Source organism: Homo sapiens, chromosome 2 (genome assembly GCF_000001405.40).
Source record: "Homo sapiens chromosome 2, GRCh38.p14 Primary Assembly".
Lineage (NCBI taxonomy): Eukaryota > Metazoa > Chordata > Mammalia > Primates > Hominidae > Homo > Homo sapiens.
Genome location: NC_000002.12, coordinates 54,329,222 through 54,346,167, shown reverse-complemented (window position 1 = coordinate 54,346,167; position 16,946 = coordinate 54,329,222). Strand labels below are relative to the sequence as shown.

The 16,946-nt window shown below is 39.7% G+C and overlaps 1 protein-coding gene across 5 annotated transcripts in view; it reads right to left on the bottom strand.

The window, feature by feature from the left end:
• The window catches only part of CIMIP6 (ciliary microtubule inner protein 6), a 53,310-nt gene extending 38,026 nt beyond the window's left edge, over positions 1-15,284 (bottom strand). For 2 of the 5 annotated variants that reach the window (XM_047443325.1, XM_024452687.2), the window contains exons 1-4: positions 15,167-15,284; positions 14,422-14,595; positions 11,144-11,351; positions 2,295-2,448 (exon numbers count right to left, since the gene is read on the bottom strand). In XM_047443325.1, coding sequence (XP_047299281.1) covers positions 2,295-2,448; positions 11,144-11,351; positions 14,422-14,595; positions 15,167-15,192 — 562 coding nt within the window. In that variant the 5' untranslated portion in view covers positions 15,193-15,284. The remainder of the gene's footprint in view (positions 1-2,294; positions 2,449-11,143; positions 11,352-14,421; positions 14,596-15,166) is intronic. The other 3 variants (NM_001100396.2, NM_001369401.1, NM_001369403.1) reach the window with 3 other exon arrangements.
• Between the last annotated feature and the right edge of the window lie 1,662 nt (positions 15,285-16,946).

The window sequence follows — 16,946 nt, the reverse complement described above, 5'->3', positions numbered from 1 at the left end:
AAGTTGAAAACTACTAAACAGCATGCATAGTATTACATAATTACATACATTTTGTTCATTTAAGGGTCAAATGTTGTGCCAGGACTTCATTTCCTTCTCAGTGGGTGTAATGCCCAGTGCCACTTGAAAAAAAATGGTTTAGTATCCGTGCCAAATAAATTCCCTTTTCTAGGTCAAAAAGTATTTCCCCTGAGAACTTTGAAGATATTAACTCCATTGTACTCTTGCATCAGTGCTGCCTGATTCCATGTTGATACTTATTTCTTAGATGGTGACTTATTTTTCTATCCCTTTATGGAAACTTTTAGAATCTTCTGTTGATGATGACTGTTTTGCAATTTTGTAATGATATGTAGGGTGTGCATATTTTTCCCCTTCACACTTAGAAGCACCCAGTAGACCCTTTTAATGCATTTTATGTAGGGAAACTTTGTTATTATTTTAGAGGTTGTGTAGAGTACTATACAGTACTGGTTATGAGTATATGCACTGGAGTCAGGCTAGCTGGGTGCAAATGCCAATTATTCACTCTAGCCTTGGGCACGTTATTTCAACTCCATGCTTGCTTTCAAAGGAGTTCAGAACATGCTACTCTAAAATGCCACTCTGGCATATTGACTATATTGAGTTAAAGGCACTTGAAAAACAGCAGATGCAAGAAAAACAGTTTGACCTTCCTTCTCTTTCTCAAAAGCAGGAGATGAAATTCCTACGTAAAAGATATCCTCCCTATACCAGAAGGAAAGCATCATTCTTACCAAGCACAGGAATTTGAGGTGAGGGGAAATCTAGACAAGTAAACCTTGTTAAACTCACCCTTATCTTCCTAGTCATTTCTCTACCCAATTACCCTAGCCCAAACTCCTTTGCCTTGTCCCATTTTTACAATGTACTACTCTTTGTCCAATTTAGTATATGTGTTCTTTCTGTGTCTTAGGGTCTTCATTTCCTTATGAAGGCTCCCCTGCTATGTAAAACTTGTATTAAATAAATTTGTATGCTTTTCTCCTGTTGATCTTTGTGTCAATTTAATTCTCAAGCCCAGCCAAAAACACTAAAATGTTAAAAAATAATTTTGCCTCCCTACATTTTCTTATCTGAAAAATAAGAATATTAATAGTATTACTACACTATTATATTGCATAGAGTTCATGTGGGAATTAAATGAGTTAATATTTAGAAAGTTCCATAAAGTGCCTGGCAAATAGTATGTGCTCAATAAATGTTATGTTTTGCTAATTATCTACCTTCATTTTTACTCTTCTCTTTTCTGGAGCTCCAGAAAAGTTGGATTTCCCAAACAGATCTTCTGTTTTGCTTTCCTTCTCATTTTCCAAGCTTTTGTTTTGTTGTTTTATGCTGTGTGATACTTCCGTGACTTTATTCTCCAAATCTTTTTTTTAACTGGCATAATTCTAATCTTTGGTTGTCCATTTATAAGAAGGGGACGGGGGATCAGCTTGATTTACCGAAATAACTGGTGTGGTAGTTGACATCTGGCTAAGACACTGGGCTCTAGTAGTCTTAATGTTGGGATAGGGTGGAGTGCTCATGACTGGAGCCTTTATTTAAGGGACAGGCTTTGAAGTAACTCTCTGACTCTCTCCTACCCGCTTTTCATTTTTGCCTTCCACTATGCCTGCTGGCTCGGCGTGTAGCTCAGTCAGGGCTTTGGCCAGGCAGATTGTCTCTTCTTTGCTGCATCTCCTTCTAGAAATTGCTTCTTTATTCTCTTTTATCTATCAATAGGCTTCTAGTCTTTGCTACGTTCCAGAAAGTTCTTCCTTCTATTCTCTTCACTCTTAAGAGTTTATTGCTTTGCTACTATTTATAGTAATAGGGTCTTGGAAGGCAGGGAATTTAGATATGTGTGCTCAGTCTGCTATCCTGAACCAGAAGTGGAAACTTTATTATCTTTCTAAAGGACAAGTCATTGTTACAGATTATCTAATAGCCCTCTTCATCAGCTACCTTCCTTGAAGTGACAATAGTTACAACTCTTAAAATGTGGTGGCAACAACAATGAGCAGGATGCTACTAAGTTTCTGACTTTGAGGCTGGTGTTATTAATGATCAATACAATTTTCATTATGTCATATTAACTGCATTTGGAGACAAACTGTCCACTAGGAAGAAATAACAAACTTCCCAAGGGCTGTATTTGCTGTGTGTGTATTTTCAACTTCATAGAGAAGTAATTATTTTCAGGAGCTGTCCGGACATCTAATACATCTTAGTTTTGGTAGCAATAATTTGAGATAACATAAAAGGTTTTTACCACTGCAAAACCTTACCTATTCCACAAGAAGGCTTTTGCATCTTGCTGTGTTTGACTGGCAAAACCAGTGGACACGATGGTTTTTGGAAGTCACTCCTCTGGGTGCTCTTAGAGTCGTAAGGTGGTAGGAAGACAGGTTCCAGTGCTTTACCATGTGACCACCAGTCACCCTTTATAGAAAATAATTGGAAACACAATATTGGATACTGTAGGGCATTTTCATGTATTGCTTGATGTCTATGGATATTCAGTAATTCAATTTAACAAGTTAGTGGATATCCCAGTACTAATGTGGAGTTCTGAAATCTGGAAATATCTTTTCACAAAAAATGTATTTCTTTGAAGGCACTGGAAAATGAGTTGTCAAATTTTTAGCTAAAATACAGCTGCTGAATTCTTAAGCTACCTTCCTTCTATCAACAAATGAAGTGGTAAAAATCAGCAAAATAGCTGTATTTGTTTTATACTATGATTTTATTATATATGTACACGTGTATGTATAAAATATTTAATTTAAAAAATTATGTTGTAATCTTTTCATTATGACAATACAAATAATGTATTATCATCTAAAAATAGTGGTTTTCAGAAGTTTTAGTCCCTAGCCTGAACCATGAAATACATTTTATGTCATACAAGAGCACACAATGCTATACATACATAAAACTGAAACAAAAGTTTCACAAAATACTTACTATATGCAGTGTGCTTAACTATTTTTCTATTCTATTTTATTGCTTTCCTATTTCATTTCACGTTGCTGACTGCAACTCATTGATTTGTCATTCACTAATGACTCAGTTTGATAAACTTTGTTCTAAGGGGAAATCTCTCTAATGTTACTGAATTTTGGTACTAAAACCTAAGTACACAAGAAAGGGAAAACTGAGATTCTTCATTAGCATGTATGACAATTTGATTTCTTGGAAGTTGAGAGAGTAGAGAGGGGAACTGTTACTCAACTTAATTCTGACCAAATATTTTAAAACTGGTTGATTAGGTGGTAGTAAGAAAATGCTTGAGAAACCCTATGACACCTAGGAGTTCCTGGAATACAGTTAGGATATGAAAGTAACTTCCGGTATAATCAAACACCTACCGTGGGCTATAAGGAAGCAAGTCTGCCTTTTGAAAATCAACTATGGTTCCATAGCCAAAGACTTCTAAACTATGATTCAAGGGGGATAAATATGCAATTCTAATAGGTAAAATACTGACAATACAATTAAGGCTACATTGATGCAAAAAGGGAGATGTTTCTTTAAAAAAAAAAAAAACCTATGTGGCTGCATAGGGAGTCAGCTCTCAAATGAGCTTAGTTTCTAAAAAGACAGGCATGTATAAAAGACATATACAACATTAGATTTAAAAAATAATTAATGGAGTCAGCTTGTCAGAAGATTGTCAAGAAACTTAGAAGACATTTATAAATTTATAAAATTTTACAAATTGATAATTTATACAATTGTCAAAGGCAGCAAAAATAATGTTTTCTAGAAAAAATTGTTCATAGCTGAGTGAAATCCTACAGCCCCAAAAAAGGTTATCTTTTGTGTTCCGGCTAACAGTTTGGAGAGAAGAATCTGGTTCAGGAAAGTCAGAACTATTCATTCAACTTGAGGTTGTTAAGGAAAATTACAGTTAACTTGAAAAAGATGGGATGAACACATACCAAAGAACTAAGCCCTGAAGAGCTGATGAGAGAGTTGGACTTCACTTTGTCACTTTATAAGAGTGCCAGTTTTTAGGCCAATGACAAATTGTAAGCAGGAGTAATGGAATAATTGGTAATTGTAACTGGGGTAATTTCTGCAGAGATTACAGAAATTTAGGAACTAGGGGATTTTGGAGAATAGATTGGCTAATGCTTCACTTTTCAGAATGGGCTAAAAGGTGAATTTAAAAAATTAAGACTACTTGATGTAGATCCTAGGAAAATTCTAGAACAGATTACTAAACAGATGGTGTCTTCTCACTATCTGGCTGAAAATAGTCACATCTTACTGTTGTCAGAGCGCCTGCTTCTGGCAGCTCTTCTCCACTCCACTTCACAATTATAATAGTGCTTATTACACCCCAAGGTCTAGGATTTATAGGTCTTGTCTTACTTATATAAGCTCATCACAATTCTATGAGGCAGGCACATCCACTTTACAGATGAGAAAACTGCCAGGAGATGAAGTAACTTCCCCAAGATATATCACCAGCAGACTGCTGCACTGCCACAATTCAAACCCCAACCTCTTTGTGCACACCTCTAATTTCTGTGCTGCACTGCTGTATCAAACCTGCTGTGGAATGCAAAACCAGCTAAGTACAAACCAAATGAAATTATTTAAGAAGTGAAAATAGAGGCTGTAAGTGCACGTCTTAGTCTGTTTTGTGCTGCTACAACAGAATACCTTAGACTGGGTAATTTATAAGGATCAGAAATTTACTGGCTCACAATTCTGTAGGCTGGGAAGTCCAAGATCAAGGCACTGGCAGGTTTGGTAATTATGATTCTAAGATGGCACCTTGAACACTGCATCCTCACATGGTGGAAGGCAGAAGAGCAAAAAGAGGGCAACAGGGGACAAAACTTGCCCTTTTATAATGGCATTCATTTCATTCATGAGGGTGGAGCTTTCATGACCTAGTCACCCCTTAAGGGTCCCACCTTTTAATACAGTTACAATGGAAATTACATTTCAACATGAGTTTGGAGGGGACAAACATTCAAACCATAGCAGTAAATATTCTGAGAAAGTTCTTCTGTGATAAGATTGTAAAGCATACACAAACACTTCATATCATCTACTTTTGTTGATCAAAAACTTATTTTGCTAATACTCAAGTTACTGGAAAAATGGCTCTGGGATAAGCGAACCACTAGGAAATGGCTGATGGACTTTAATTATTATTATTTGTTATTATTATTTTTTTGAGCCAGGGTCTCACTCCATCACCCAAGCTGGAGCATAGTGGTACGATTACAACTCACTGCAGCCTCAAACTCCTGGACTCAGGTGATCCTCCCACCTTAGCCTCCTGAGTAGCAGGGACTATAGGCATGAGCCACCACGCCTGGCTATATTTTTTTCTTAAAAGCATAATGCAAAGCTAGCCTTAGAGCAGAGAGATAATTTCATCTTTTGAGCAAATTTCTTTTAAACTGAGAATTTTGCCAAAATAGTCTTTGTTTCACAAACATAAAGGAAATAGAGAACAGTTTTTCCTAAAATGTGACTGGTGACTTTAAGGCTCTGCAGTTTGTGAAAGTGTTCTGATGAGTGTTATAAATTGGATGCATCTTCACTTTAGCTGAGTGAAATCTTACAGTCCAAAAAAAAAGGTTGTCTTTCTTGTTTCTGGATAGTCTTCCTTATGCCTAAAAAGTTTGGTTTGTTCCTGGAAGAGTGAAAGTGCTTATGTGCCCATGCAACATGTGCGTGCCCTTTTGGTCCAAGCATTTATTCATAAAAGATTATGAGATTAAGGAAAGACATGGATGGAGCCTCGTCTTTACCTTTGTATCATACTGAAGGGAAAGACTAACAAAAAATTTACTGTTCTGTGTACCATCACTTACATTGGATTGTGGGGGGTTAACACAGTTATTTATGACAAAATAAGCTGGGAAGTTACCTAGCGTGATGGCTTTGTCTAGGCTCTGGGGAACAGATCATATCTTGCAGATTGTAGAGGGGGTTTTGCCTAACTCAAACTTTGGACCCAGAGAGGAGTTATCCCTACCAGTCTAAGGACTGTCTTCTTTCCTGCCCCAGGATGATAGTCACTGGGTTCCATGGTCAGGAGTTGCCTGGAGATTCCGGATGACGGGGCTCCTTCTAACCTGCAGCTCTGGGAAGGCCAAGGGCTGTTGCACTGTGGGTCCCTTAGTCACATTTGGAAGCCAGTGTAAGGCAGTCTCTATGTTATACTCCTAGTATCCCTAAGCTCTCAGAGATGTTTTAGTAAAGATTACCTATTTTCCATTCTTTGAGAAATTAAGGGAGAATCCTCAGAGGAGAAGTAGTAAAAAGCAAGTGAAGTATCCTAGAGGAACTAGTTAAGTGAATGCAAGAGGTCGTAAGCCAAGCTCCACAGCCACAATCGCGTAGCCAAGATGGCTGGTGGTGGTCATCTGTGGAACATAAAATCATACTTTGTGGATTCCCAAGGAAATGTGGGCTTTTGACAAAACCTAAACATAAACAATCGCATTTTGTTGGTAGAGCTCAGTGGCTTTAAAAAATTGAAGTACTATCACAAACACTAGGGCAGCTAAGGTCACATTGGTTACACTGTACCTAAATTCATCTCTATTTTGCTATAGATGCTATGAGTGCTTTAAAAAAATGTTTTTAAGCAGTTCATAATGCACCCCCCCATAAAAAATTCCAAAATTGTGTTCTGTGGAACACTAGTTCTCCAGCATATTAATAGGTGTTATACAAAGGAGTCCACAGTTAAATGACTTTGGGAAATAGTGAGAAAAGCAAAGTTAAATAAGTTTATCACAAGATTTCTCAGAACCTTTATATACCAATGTGAATTGTGAAGCTCTGAGAAAGGTTTATAAAAATACAGCTTTTCCAAAACATATTTGACTTTGCAAATTTATTTTGTTAAGCATGTAGGCAAGGGTCAGTGCTCTGAAAATTAAACTTTTGAAAATACCAACCTAGTATAATCTCCTTTAAAGTACCAATATTTAAAAATATTTTTATTTTATTTTATTTTATTTTTTCTTGAGATGGAGTCTTGTTCTGTTGCCAGGCTGGAGTCCAGTGGCACGATCTTGGCTCACTGCAACCTCTGCCTGCCAGGTTCAAGCAATTCTCCTGCCTCAGCCTCCCAAATAGCTAGGACTACAGGCACGCACCGCCATGCCCATCTAATTTTTTGTATTTTTAGTAGAGATGGGGGGGGGTCTCACCATGTTGGCCAGGCTGGTCTCGAACTCCTGACCTCATGATCTGCCCACCTCAGCCTCCCAAAGTGCTGGGATAGCAGGCATGAGCCACCGCACCCAGCCAAAAATATAAGACAATCAAACCAGTTTTCTTTGGAAGTGACTGAGCTAAAACAACTTACTTTTTTTAGCATCCCCAATTTTATGTTCCTAGGTAGAAATGTACGAAATCTTAAAAATCTTCTAAACAAATAAAACCAACCAATCTCGTCTTGCATCCTAAAGATATTATCTTAGCAAAAACACTTAAAACAACAGGTGTCATTTAAAATATTTAGGCAAGTTTATTTTCTTTACTCTTATTATAAAGACAGCATTACCGTCAACCAGTTTTTTTCTTAACCAGGCTAACCTTTAAAAAGAAACCTGTCATCTTAAAGGAACAGTTTACAAATATGTGAAATATACATTCTTTATTATTTCTTGGATAGTTAGAAATGAGTACATTTAAGTTCATTGTTTTTGGTTTTTATTTTATTATTTTAAAATTTGTTTTTAGAGATGGGGTCTTGCTCTGTTGCACAGGCTGGAGCACAGTGGCACAATCATTGCTCACTGCAGCTTTGAACTCCTGAGCTCAAGCCATCCTCCTGCCTCAGCCTCCTAAGTAGCTGGGACTACGGAGGCTTGCCACCACACCTGGCTATTTATTTATTTATTTTTGTAGCGCTCGGTCTCACTATGTTGCCCAGGAAGGTTTCAAACTCCTGGGCTCAAGTTACCCTCCTGCCTTGGCCTTCCAAAGTGTTGGGATTACAGGTGTGAGCCACTGTGCCCAGCCAATTTTATTTCCTTTTGAGCAGGGTCTCACTCTGTCACTCAGGCTGGAGTGCAATGGCATGAACATAGCTCACTGCAGCCTTGACCTCCCAGGTGCAAGCAATCTTCCTGCCTCAGCCTCTCAAGTAGCTGGGACCACAGGCGTACACCATTACACCCAGCTATTTTTTTATTTTTATTTTTTTGTATAAATGGGGTCTCACCATGTTGCCCAGGCTATGTTTTTAAAATATACACACTCCCTTCCTGCCACACCCAAATCAGACATGCTTGTAACTCAGTGATGTATCTTCAGTCTTTCTCTGTAACTCTCCTCATTCATATTCACTGACAGATTCCCTTATCTGAGCTCTTATTTCATCTCAAACTCACTTTCACCATCTCTTAAAGGTCCAGTGCTAATAATGATTCTACTACTATTCTGTCACCTAGTCTTGATGATAGCAGCTCTTAACACCTTTGTTCATTTTTTTTCCAACATACCTATAGAGTAGGAGTAAGAGAAAATTAGTTGGGATTAAGTTTTTAAACTTTTATGTTTCATATTTCTATTCTCAAACCAGCTTCTTTTTCTTAGTATTGCCAATGTAAGGATGAGTTCAGTGAACAGTTTTAAATTCAACCCTGAACTAGAGCTCAGAGTCATTCATGAGCCTTTGTAAGAAATGTAAGAACTTCACTAATCTGGATTTTGGTACCAAATTAATTTCCCCAGTGTAGGTCTGGTCTAACAATAACAATTGATTTCTTTCTGAAATAATTGGTACGAGAGCATAAGCAAGTGTACAAAATGAAGTACCCTCAATATGGCCCTTAAAGGGGTTTAGCTCATGAAATTAAAGAACATTTAACCACAGGAATTCCTGCCCCAAGAAGATCTGACATTCACAGCCATGGTGTGCTGTCCATGACAAGAACAGATGTCATCAGTACGAAGAGAGCTCACAAAAAGCAATCTCCATCTAAATGTTAAATCACTATACCTAACACACAGAGAGATGAGGAAAGAAGTGGAGTAGGAGGAGGCTGACACTGGCACAGTGGTCTGAGACCATTTAGATGGTACACATTTCCTTTTCCAAATATGCTGGAAAAAACCTACATGAGAAATTATTACCTTTGCTGTGACATATTTTGAATCCCATCTGTTGAACACTTGCCTGGCTCAGCACTGTACTAGGTCTTCTCTCATAGAATCCTGCTCTCAGCTGCAAATAAGTCCCCATCACTGTGCAGAGAGCAGTAGACTAGGATTCTGCTGCTACTAAGAGCTAATGTTTAGTGAGTGCTTCCTTTGTGCATTATGAATGCTCTTCTGCCAGGTTCCTACATGCTCACTCCCTCACTCTCCCTCTGGTCTTCACTCAAATGTCACTCAGTGAAGCCTTCTCTGACCACCAATTTAAAATTGCAGCTCTGCCTGCAGCATTCCTTACCCTGCCTTGCATGCTGCCCTTACTACCATGTAACATTCCAATACAGCTTACTTGTTTGATCTATTCCCTTACTAAAATGTAAGCTATGTAAGGACAGGATTTTTTTCCCCCATTTACTTTATTCACTGCTGTATCTCTAGTGTCTAGAACAGTAACTGACAAAAATATTTTAATTCTCATAAAAACCCTATGAGAGGGACAATTACTATCCTTACATAAATAAGGAAATTGAAGCTTAGCGTGACTTGCCCAAAGTCACATGGCAAGTGTGTAGCAGCAACACAGTGGAATGAACTAGTGACATACTGCAGCAACATGGACAAATCCCAGATGCTTTATTCTGAAAGACTGGTTCAATAAGCTACATACTGGGTAATTCCATTAACATGACTTTCTGGAAAGGGCAAAACTATGGAAAACAGATCAGTAGCTGTTGGAGTAGAGGAAGGGAATGACCACAAAAGGGCATAGGGGAACTTTTGAGGGTGATAGAAATGATTCATAGCTTGATTGTGATGGAGTAACATGACTACACCTTTGCCAAAATTCAGAGAATTATACACTATATAAGGGTAACTAATTTACTGTGTAAGGGTAGGTAGAATAATGCTCCCTCTCTCTGTCCCTAAAGATGTTCGTGATTTAAGCCCCAAATCTGTGAATGTTACCTTGCATAGCAAAGGGACTTTGCAGATGTGATTAAGGATTGTGAGATGGGGAGATTATCCTGAATTATCTGGGTGGGTGCATTCTAATCACAAGGGTCCTTATAAGAGAGAGTCAGGAGAGTGGGTCAGAGAAAGATTTGAAGATGCTGTGTTGCTGGCTTCAAAGAAAAAGGCGCCATAAACCAAGGAACATGGGCAGTCTCTAGAAGCTGGGAAAGGCAAGGAAACCCATCCACCCTTAGAGCCCACAGAAAGAACTAGGCCTGGCAACAGTCAGTGAGACGGATTTTGGACTTCTAAGCTAGATAATAAATATGTGCTGCTTTAAACCAGCTTTCAAGTTTGTGAAAATTTGTAACATCAGCAATAGGAAACTAATACAATAAATTGTACCGCAACAAACCTGACTTTGTAAAAAAGATAATGGAATATTTTTAGCATGGGATAGTCAGTGAAGTGTGGTTTGGCTAAACCAACAGCCCTGGGACAGAAATATGACTGTGACATTTGCTTATTACTTAATCTCAGATATGTTAATTAACCTCAAAGGAATATGTGTTATTTGTAAACTATTTCCAATAAGACTTCATAGAAATTGTTGTAGAGATTAAAGAATATAATTTATATAAAACACTTAGCTCATTCCTAGAACTTCATATGCTTTCAATAAATGATTATTATTTTACAGAAGGTATGTGAATTACTGAGTATCATGGGACATTTTTATATTAGAATATATATCGTAAATACATGAAATTTCTTTAGTAACCCCAAAGCACTACTTTGTGGCAATAATCTGACCCAATCTAGGGAAACAATTACTTAGATTCCCTCCCTGTATCCGTATTGTTTATATGTAAAAGTCAGCTGGCAAAATAGTTTCAGGTTACTGCTTTTAACTATTGGATTATGATAAGTACTACTCTGAGATGTGTCTCATCCTTTATAGTCTGTGACCAAATTATTCTGCAAAACAGCATCTGAATCTAAATCTCTATTTGTATACAATGAACATCTGTCCAACCTGTATTTCTGGCCCTTTTTTGGGATCTATGTAGGGAAATGGTTCATTGTATGTTCTTGCATTTGTGTTAATGAATTTAGCATAATATATACGTCCTCTTCCAACATGTGATTTTGAATGATGTATGCTTTTTCCAGGTTTTTCTTCGTGTTTAATTTCTTCATTTTCACTTACATATGTTATAGCAGCATCCTCTATTTTATGCTGTCTGAAAAACATAAATAGTAAACCATTTACCCCAGTAACCATTAAAATATTGAGTCAAAATTATGTAAAATAAGATTTAAATATACTACAAACAGCAGTCAAGACAATTTAGGCTGTATTAATAGTTATAAGGGTTTGTGCTGTTAAAATTTAGGAGGCCATTTTCTAATTCTAAATCATATAAGCGATAAAGGGCTTTGTGTTAATAATGATTACTCATTATAATATACCAGTGCAGTGCACCAACTCTTATTTGCTTGGAGTAAAGAAAGAGTAGTGATTGGATTATGCTTCCATATCATGTTTGCAGTACTCACGTGTGTGGATAAGTTACACGCTATAGTTAACTCAACTTCTTTAAAAGTTTTATTACCAAGAGAATGGCTTTATTCTCCCGTTTACCTAGTAAACAGCTATCTGGACAAGGATAAACCAATTAATTTTAAAAGTTTGTCTGGCAAACTTAAAGCTACCAAAGGAGCACCATTATTTATCTTTTCAAGAAAAGAACACTATGTGGCAGTCAAAATAAATCTCTTCATTTTTTGCCTCTAGTAAGCACTCTGTTACAAATACGAAAATTACTAAAATAAAATATTTTAAAAATGTATAGGAAGAAACAGCTTATCAGATTTTTCTCCTTTCAAATAAGGAGAAATTGAAATTATAAAAGGCAGTATTTTTAAAATTCACATACTTGAAAAATAAAGAATGAAATATATGAATTTGAATACTTTTTACATAGAAGCTTTTAAAATCAAAGCCATGATCCCACAGCAGGTGAGTCAATGAAACTCCAAATTCACAGAGAAAGCAGGTAGCACCGTTTAATCTTATACACAGCCCTTAAAGTATAACACCTGCCTTCCTCCAAACGAATGCCAGGTCCATCTCTTCTACCACATCATTTTTCTTTTTTTCCTTTTTGAGACGGAGTCTTACTCTGTCCCAGGCAGGAGTGCAGTGGTGCTATCTCCGCTCACTGCAACCTCTGCCTCCCAGGTTCAAGTGATTCTCCTGCCTCAGCCTCCTGAGTAGCTGGGGTTACAGGCGCGCACCACCACGCCCGGCTAATTTTTGTATTTTTTTTTAGTAGAGACAGGGTTTCGTCATGTTGGCCAGGGTGGTCTTTAACTCCTGACCTCAGGTGATCTGCCAGCCTCGGCCTCCCAAAGTGGTGGGATTACAGGCGTGAACCACTGTGCCTCGCCCACATCATTTTGCAGTTAAAACCCTCAAGTAGTTTTCCATTCATTTACAATAAAATACTGCCTCCTAATTGTAGCTCTGAGGTCCTGTGTGACTTGCCCCAGTGAACCTCTTCGACTTCACTCAAGACCCTCCAACCAGACTGCCTTCTGTCAGTTCCAGGGACACATCAATCTCTTTTCCCTCACGGCACCTGCACATGCTGTTCGCTCTGCCTGGACAGCTCTTCCCCAGCTCCCAGCACAGCTGGCTCAGGATATTTAGGTCTCAGCTTAAAACCATCTCCTCAGCAGCTTTTCCTAGATTTCTTTCCTCTACCACATGTATTCTCTATTTTAGTACTTTGTTCATTTCTTTTATTAACACCACAATTTTTTATGTACCTAGTTTTTTGTTTACTTGTTTTTAGTAAGCACTACAAATATCCTTTACTAGTCAATAAGTTCCATGAAGGTGTACATTGTTGAATTCACCATGTGCCCAACATCAGGAAAAGTGTCCTGTTCATCCAAGGTAAATGGACTGCCATTATAACATTTACATATTTCTGGTGAATCTGCTGGAGTTTACTCCAGCTTTGTTTGAATACCCTCAACCACCCCTCCAGTACACATAAAAACAACATTCAGAATCCTTGGATTCTAGTTCCCTGCTTCCCAAAAATTACTTTCTGCAAAGGATTTGGAAAAACTGATTACTGGTAAAGTGTAAAAAACTTCTAAACCTTTTTCTATTACCTTTCCAGAGATACAATTATTTATTTAAAGGTAGAGTCTTTGGGGTCAATTAATTTATTATTGTAGGCTTCTGGCATCAGTTTTTTCCACCTGTTTCTCATAGTTATCACCCAACAATATACACTTGTAGTGATCAAGTCCTTGAAGAAAAGGACTGGGGCTATTTGTTATATAGTTAAATTCATTTGATTAAGCACTTGTGGTATGAATGCCTACGGGTTGATAAATAAGTGTGAAATATATGACTCGAGCAATCTCTTGCCAGAAGAAAAGCACAGATAAAAACACTGATGGGCTCTGAAGTGAGTCAGACAGGGACTGGAATCCCAGTTCTGCCATATCTGAGCCTTTGTCTCATTTGCATGATAGGAACAATACCTATTGTAAGAGATATGAGAATAACATTGAATAATTCATTGTTTCAACAGATATTTATTGAGTTGCGTGCCAGGTGCTGTTGGAGGCACTGATGATAAAGCAGTGACAAAACAAAAATTCCTGCCCTCATAGAGCTTACACTCTAATGGGGAAAGGCGGATGAAAAAGTAAATTATATAGTCTGTTAAGTGCTAAGGACAATAATAAAATAGAGAATGGGAAAAGGGAGTGTATGTATGTAGGAGGTAGGTTTGCATTTTCAGGTAGGGTGGAGGCTGCATTGTGAAGGTGGCAAATGAAAAAAGAGGGGAAGAGAGAGCTAAGTGCATATTTGTGGGAAAAGCATTCTAGCAGAGTGAACTGTAACTGCCAAAGCTTCCCAGCAGAAGTGTAACCATCCTTAGCGCACTGCTTCTAAAAGTATGGGCACTGGAGTAGCAGCATTGGCATCAATTGTGACCTTGTTAGAAATACAAATTTATGGGGCCCATTTCCTTTATGTACCTAGTTTTTTGTTTACTTGTTTTTAGAAAGCACTGCAAACTCAGAATCTCTGGGGCTGGTTCCCAGGAACGTGTTTTAACCAGCTGTTTCGCTGATTCTTATGCACGTTCAAGTGTGAGAACCATTGTTCCAGGGACAAAAATACAGGCTTTGGAAGAGGGTATCCCTGGCTCCACATCATTCCTAACTAGCTGTATGTACTACCTTGATTAATAGTCTCAATTTAAGGTACATCAGAATCACCTGGATGCCTTGGTTGAAGCCAGATTATTGAGCCCCAGCCATAGAGTTTCTGATTCTGTGTGTCTCGGGGGTGGGAAGTCCCCAAAATTTGCATTCCTAACAACCAGGTGCTGCTGATGCTGGTCTTTATCACTGCAGATGATAGCAGAAAGGCCTGTTTGCTGTAGCAGAGTCCTGTCAGAGGGAGGCAAGAAACGGTAAGGGGCGTGTTGTGTAGACTCCATAGGCCATTGGAGGTGCCTTGGCTTTTACTCTACGATGTCGGATGGAGAACGGCGATCTAACCTGGGCTGTAAACGGATAGCTCTGACTGCTGTGTCGAGGAGGCTGCAGAGGGGTAAGGGAAAAGCAAAGCCACCAACTGGAGGGCTGTTGCAGCATCCCGGCAAGAGAAGCTGGTACTTGGGACTGGGTGGGCACAGTACTGAAAGTGATGAGCAGTGGTAGATTCTGGATAATTTTAAAGGTAAAGACTACAGAATCTGCTAATAATTGTGAGAAGGAGTGGATGACTTCAAGAATTTTAGATCCGGTAATGCAAGTCAAGTCCCTGACACACAGTATGTGCTCAGTAAACGGTGCGTTTTAAAAATTATTGTTGTAAGCGCTCAGCCAACTGGAAATTAGAGAAGCAAGGGGGCTGTCTGAGCTTGGCCTGGACTGTCCATGCTGGATCCCGGCCTCCCCCTGAAGGAGGAAAATAGTTTTTGGAAAGGGAAATAAGACACCAAACCCCAGCACTTACTGATGCTTATCTTCCTTTTCCTCCATGGGCCTCTACGGCACCAGGCAGCGAGGAGCCTCCTGGGAAGAACAGGGACGCAGCCCTGCCAGGAAAAGGGTGCGCAAAGCGCGGCGACTGTGACTCGCGCGTTGCTAAGCGACGGGCGCTAGTCCTCGGAAAGGGGCGTGGGGGGAAACTCCTGGAGTGCGCAGGCGCAGTTAAGCCGGGTTGGTGCTGGACTGTTGCTCACTGTGCGCGACTGCGCGGCGAGGAGGGCGGGGGTGCCTGGCCGCGTCTCTAGGCGTGTGGGCTCGACGCCCTGCGTTTGAACTTGCCCTTCCCATTGTAGGGCCAGGAGGGGTGTTTATCAGGACTGATTTGGTCCTTGAGGATAGGGGAAGGGCTGTTTCCGGAGCTGCGGGGCAGCGCTGCTGCCGTCTCCGCCGTGCCCGCCCTCCGGAGCCCGGCAGGTCGTCGTCAAAGCGCTGCCACGGGTCGCCCAAGCTGGCTGCAAAAGTGCGGGCCGGCGGGAAGGATACTTGTTTTCCCTTGTATTGTTAACAATACTGTGCGAGTCGTGATTGGTTGCTCCTGAGCTGCCTAGCCTTTACTCCAGAAAGCTTGGTTGTCACTGTTTTCCACCATTTCTGACAAAACCTTCCCCGGCTGGGCTGCCAGGATTAAAATAGAGCAAGGGAACACTCATCTCCTGCAAATGAGGCTCCCTGCTGTGTGTCATCTGTTGCAGCCTGAGCGGGGTTCAGAATAGGGTAGCTTAGGCAGCGGGTTGGGGCTTGTATGTGTAGCACTTACCCAAAAAGAGCAAGCTCCTGGGAAAAGCCGTTGCTGACTTGCATCCACCTTCTGGCCCTGGAATTTCTTACTTCATTTCACCATTGCCTCCCAATTTCCACTACCAGAGCCAAAAGTCTTTGGCATCTGTCATAGTAACTCACGCATTTCCCTGGATAACGGAAAAAGAAAAGTCCAGAGTTGAATTCTGCCTTATATCAGGCTATGCATACGTATATGTTTGGAATCCAGAGTCAGTGTTCGTGTGTGTGTTTACATTCACCTTGGAGAGTGATGGGAGAGCAGAGGTTGGTCCTAGGACTCATTTTATGTATGTGACCTGAAATCCTATCAGGAAGAAGAATATATGTGTAGATTTGACACCTAGTGACCTAAATACCTGAGTGTGGACTTCGTTGTTAAAGACTGGAGTGTGTGTGAATGTGTCATTGTGTGTGTGTGTGTTTGGTGAGTAAGGAGTGGATGAGTAAATAAATATGGGGCAAGTGGGTTGAAAACCAGAAAGCAGGGGGAACTAATAGCAATTGAGCTTCCACTAGGGGACCAGGCATTTGTTAGGCATTGTATTAAACACCACCTGCTTATCTGGTCTTATCCTAACCATCACACTGTGATTAGGAGCTTAGGGTCTGGGAGCAGTCAGTGTTTGAAACCTGGCTTTACCACTTAACTAGCTAGTTCACTTGGGCAAATGATCTAACCTCTCTGAGCCTCAATTTTTTTCATCCACAAAATGGGGAAAATACCTAGGGTTGTTGTGAGGTGTAGATGATTTAATACAGGCAGAGTACTGAGAACAGGGCCCGATGCTTAGTAAGTGCTTTGCCATTATTTTTATTGATCAACTTGATCTGCTTATGCTGCCACATGTCCTTGAGGGTTAGTCAACTCCCTCATCATTCCCCCTAATTTCTGCTTCAACCTTCACCAATCTCTTCAAGTCCTAAAACCACTTACCCTCAGGAACAATCTCAGGGCTTAAAGAAAT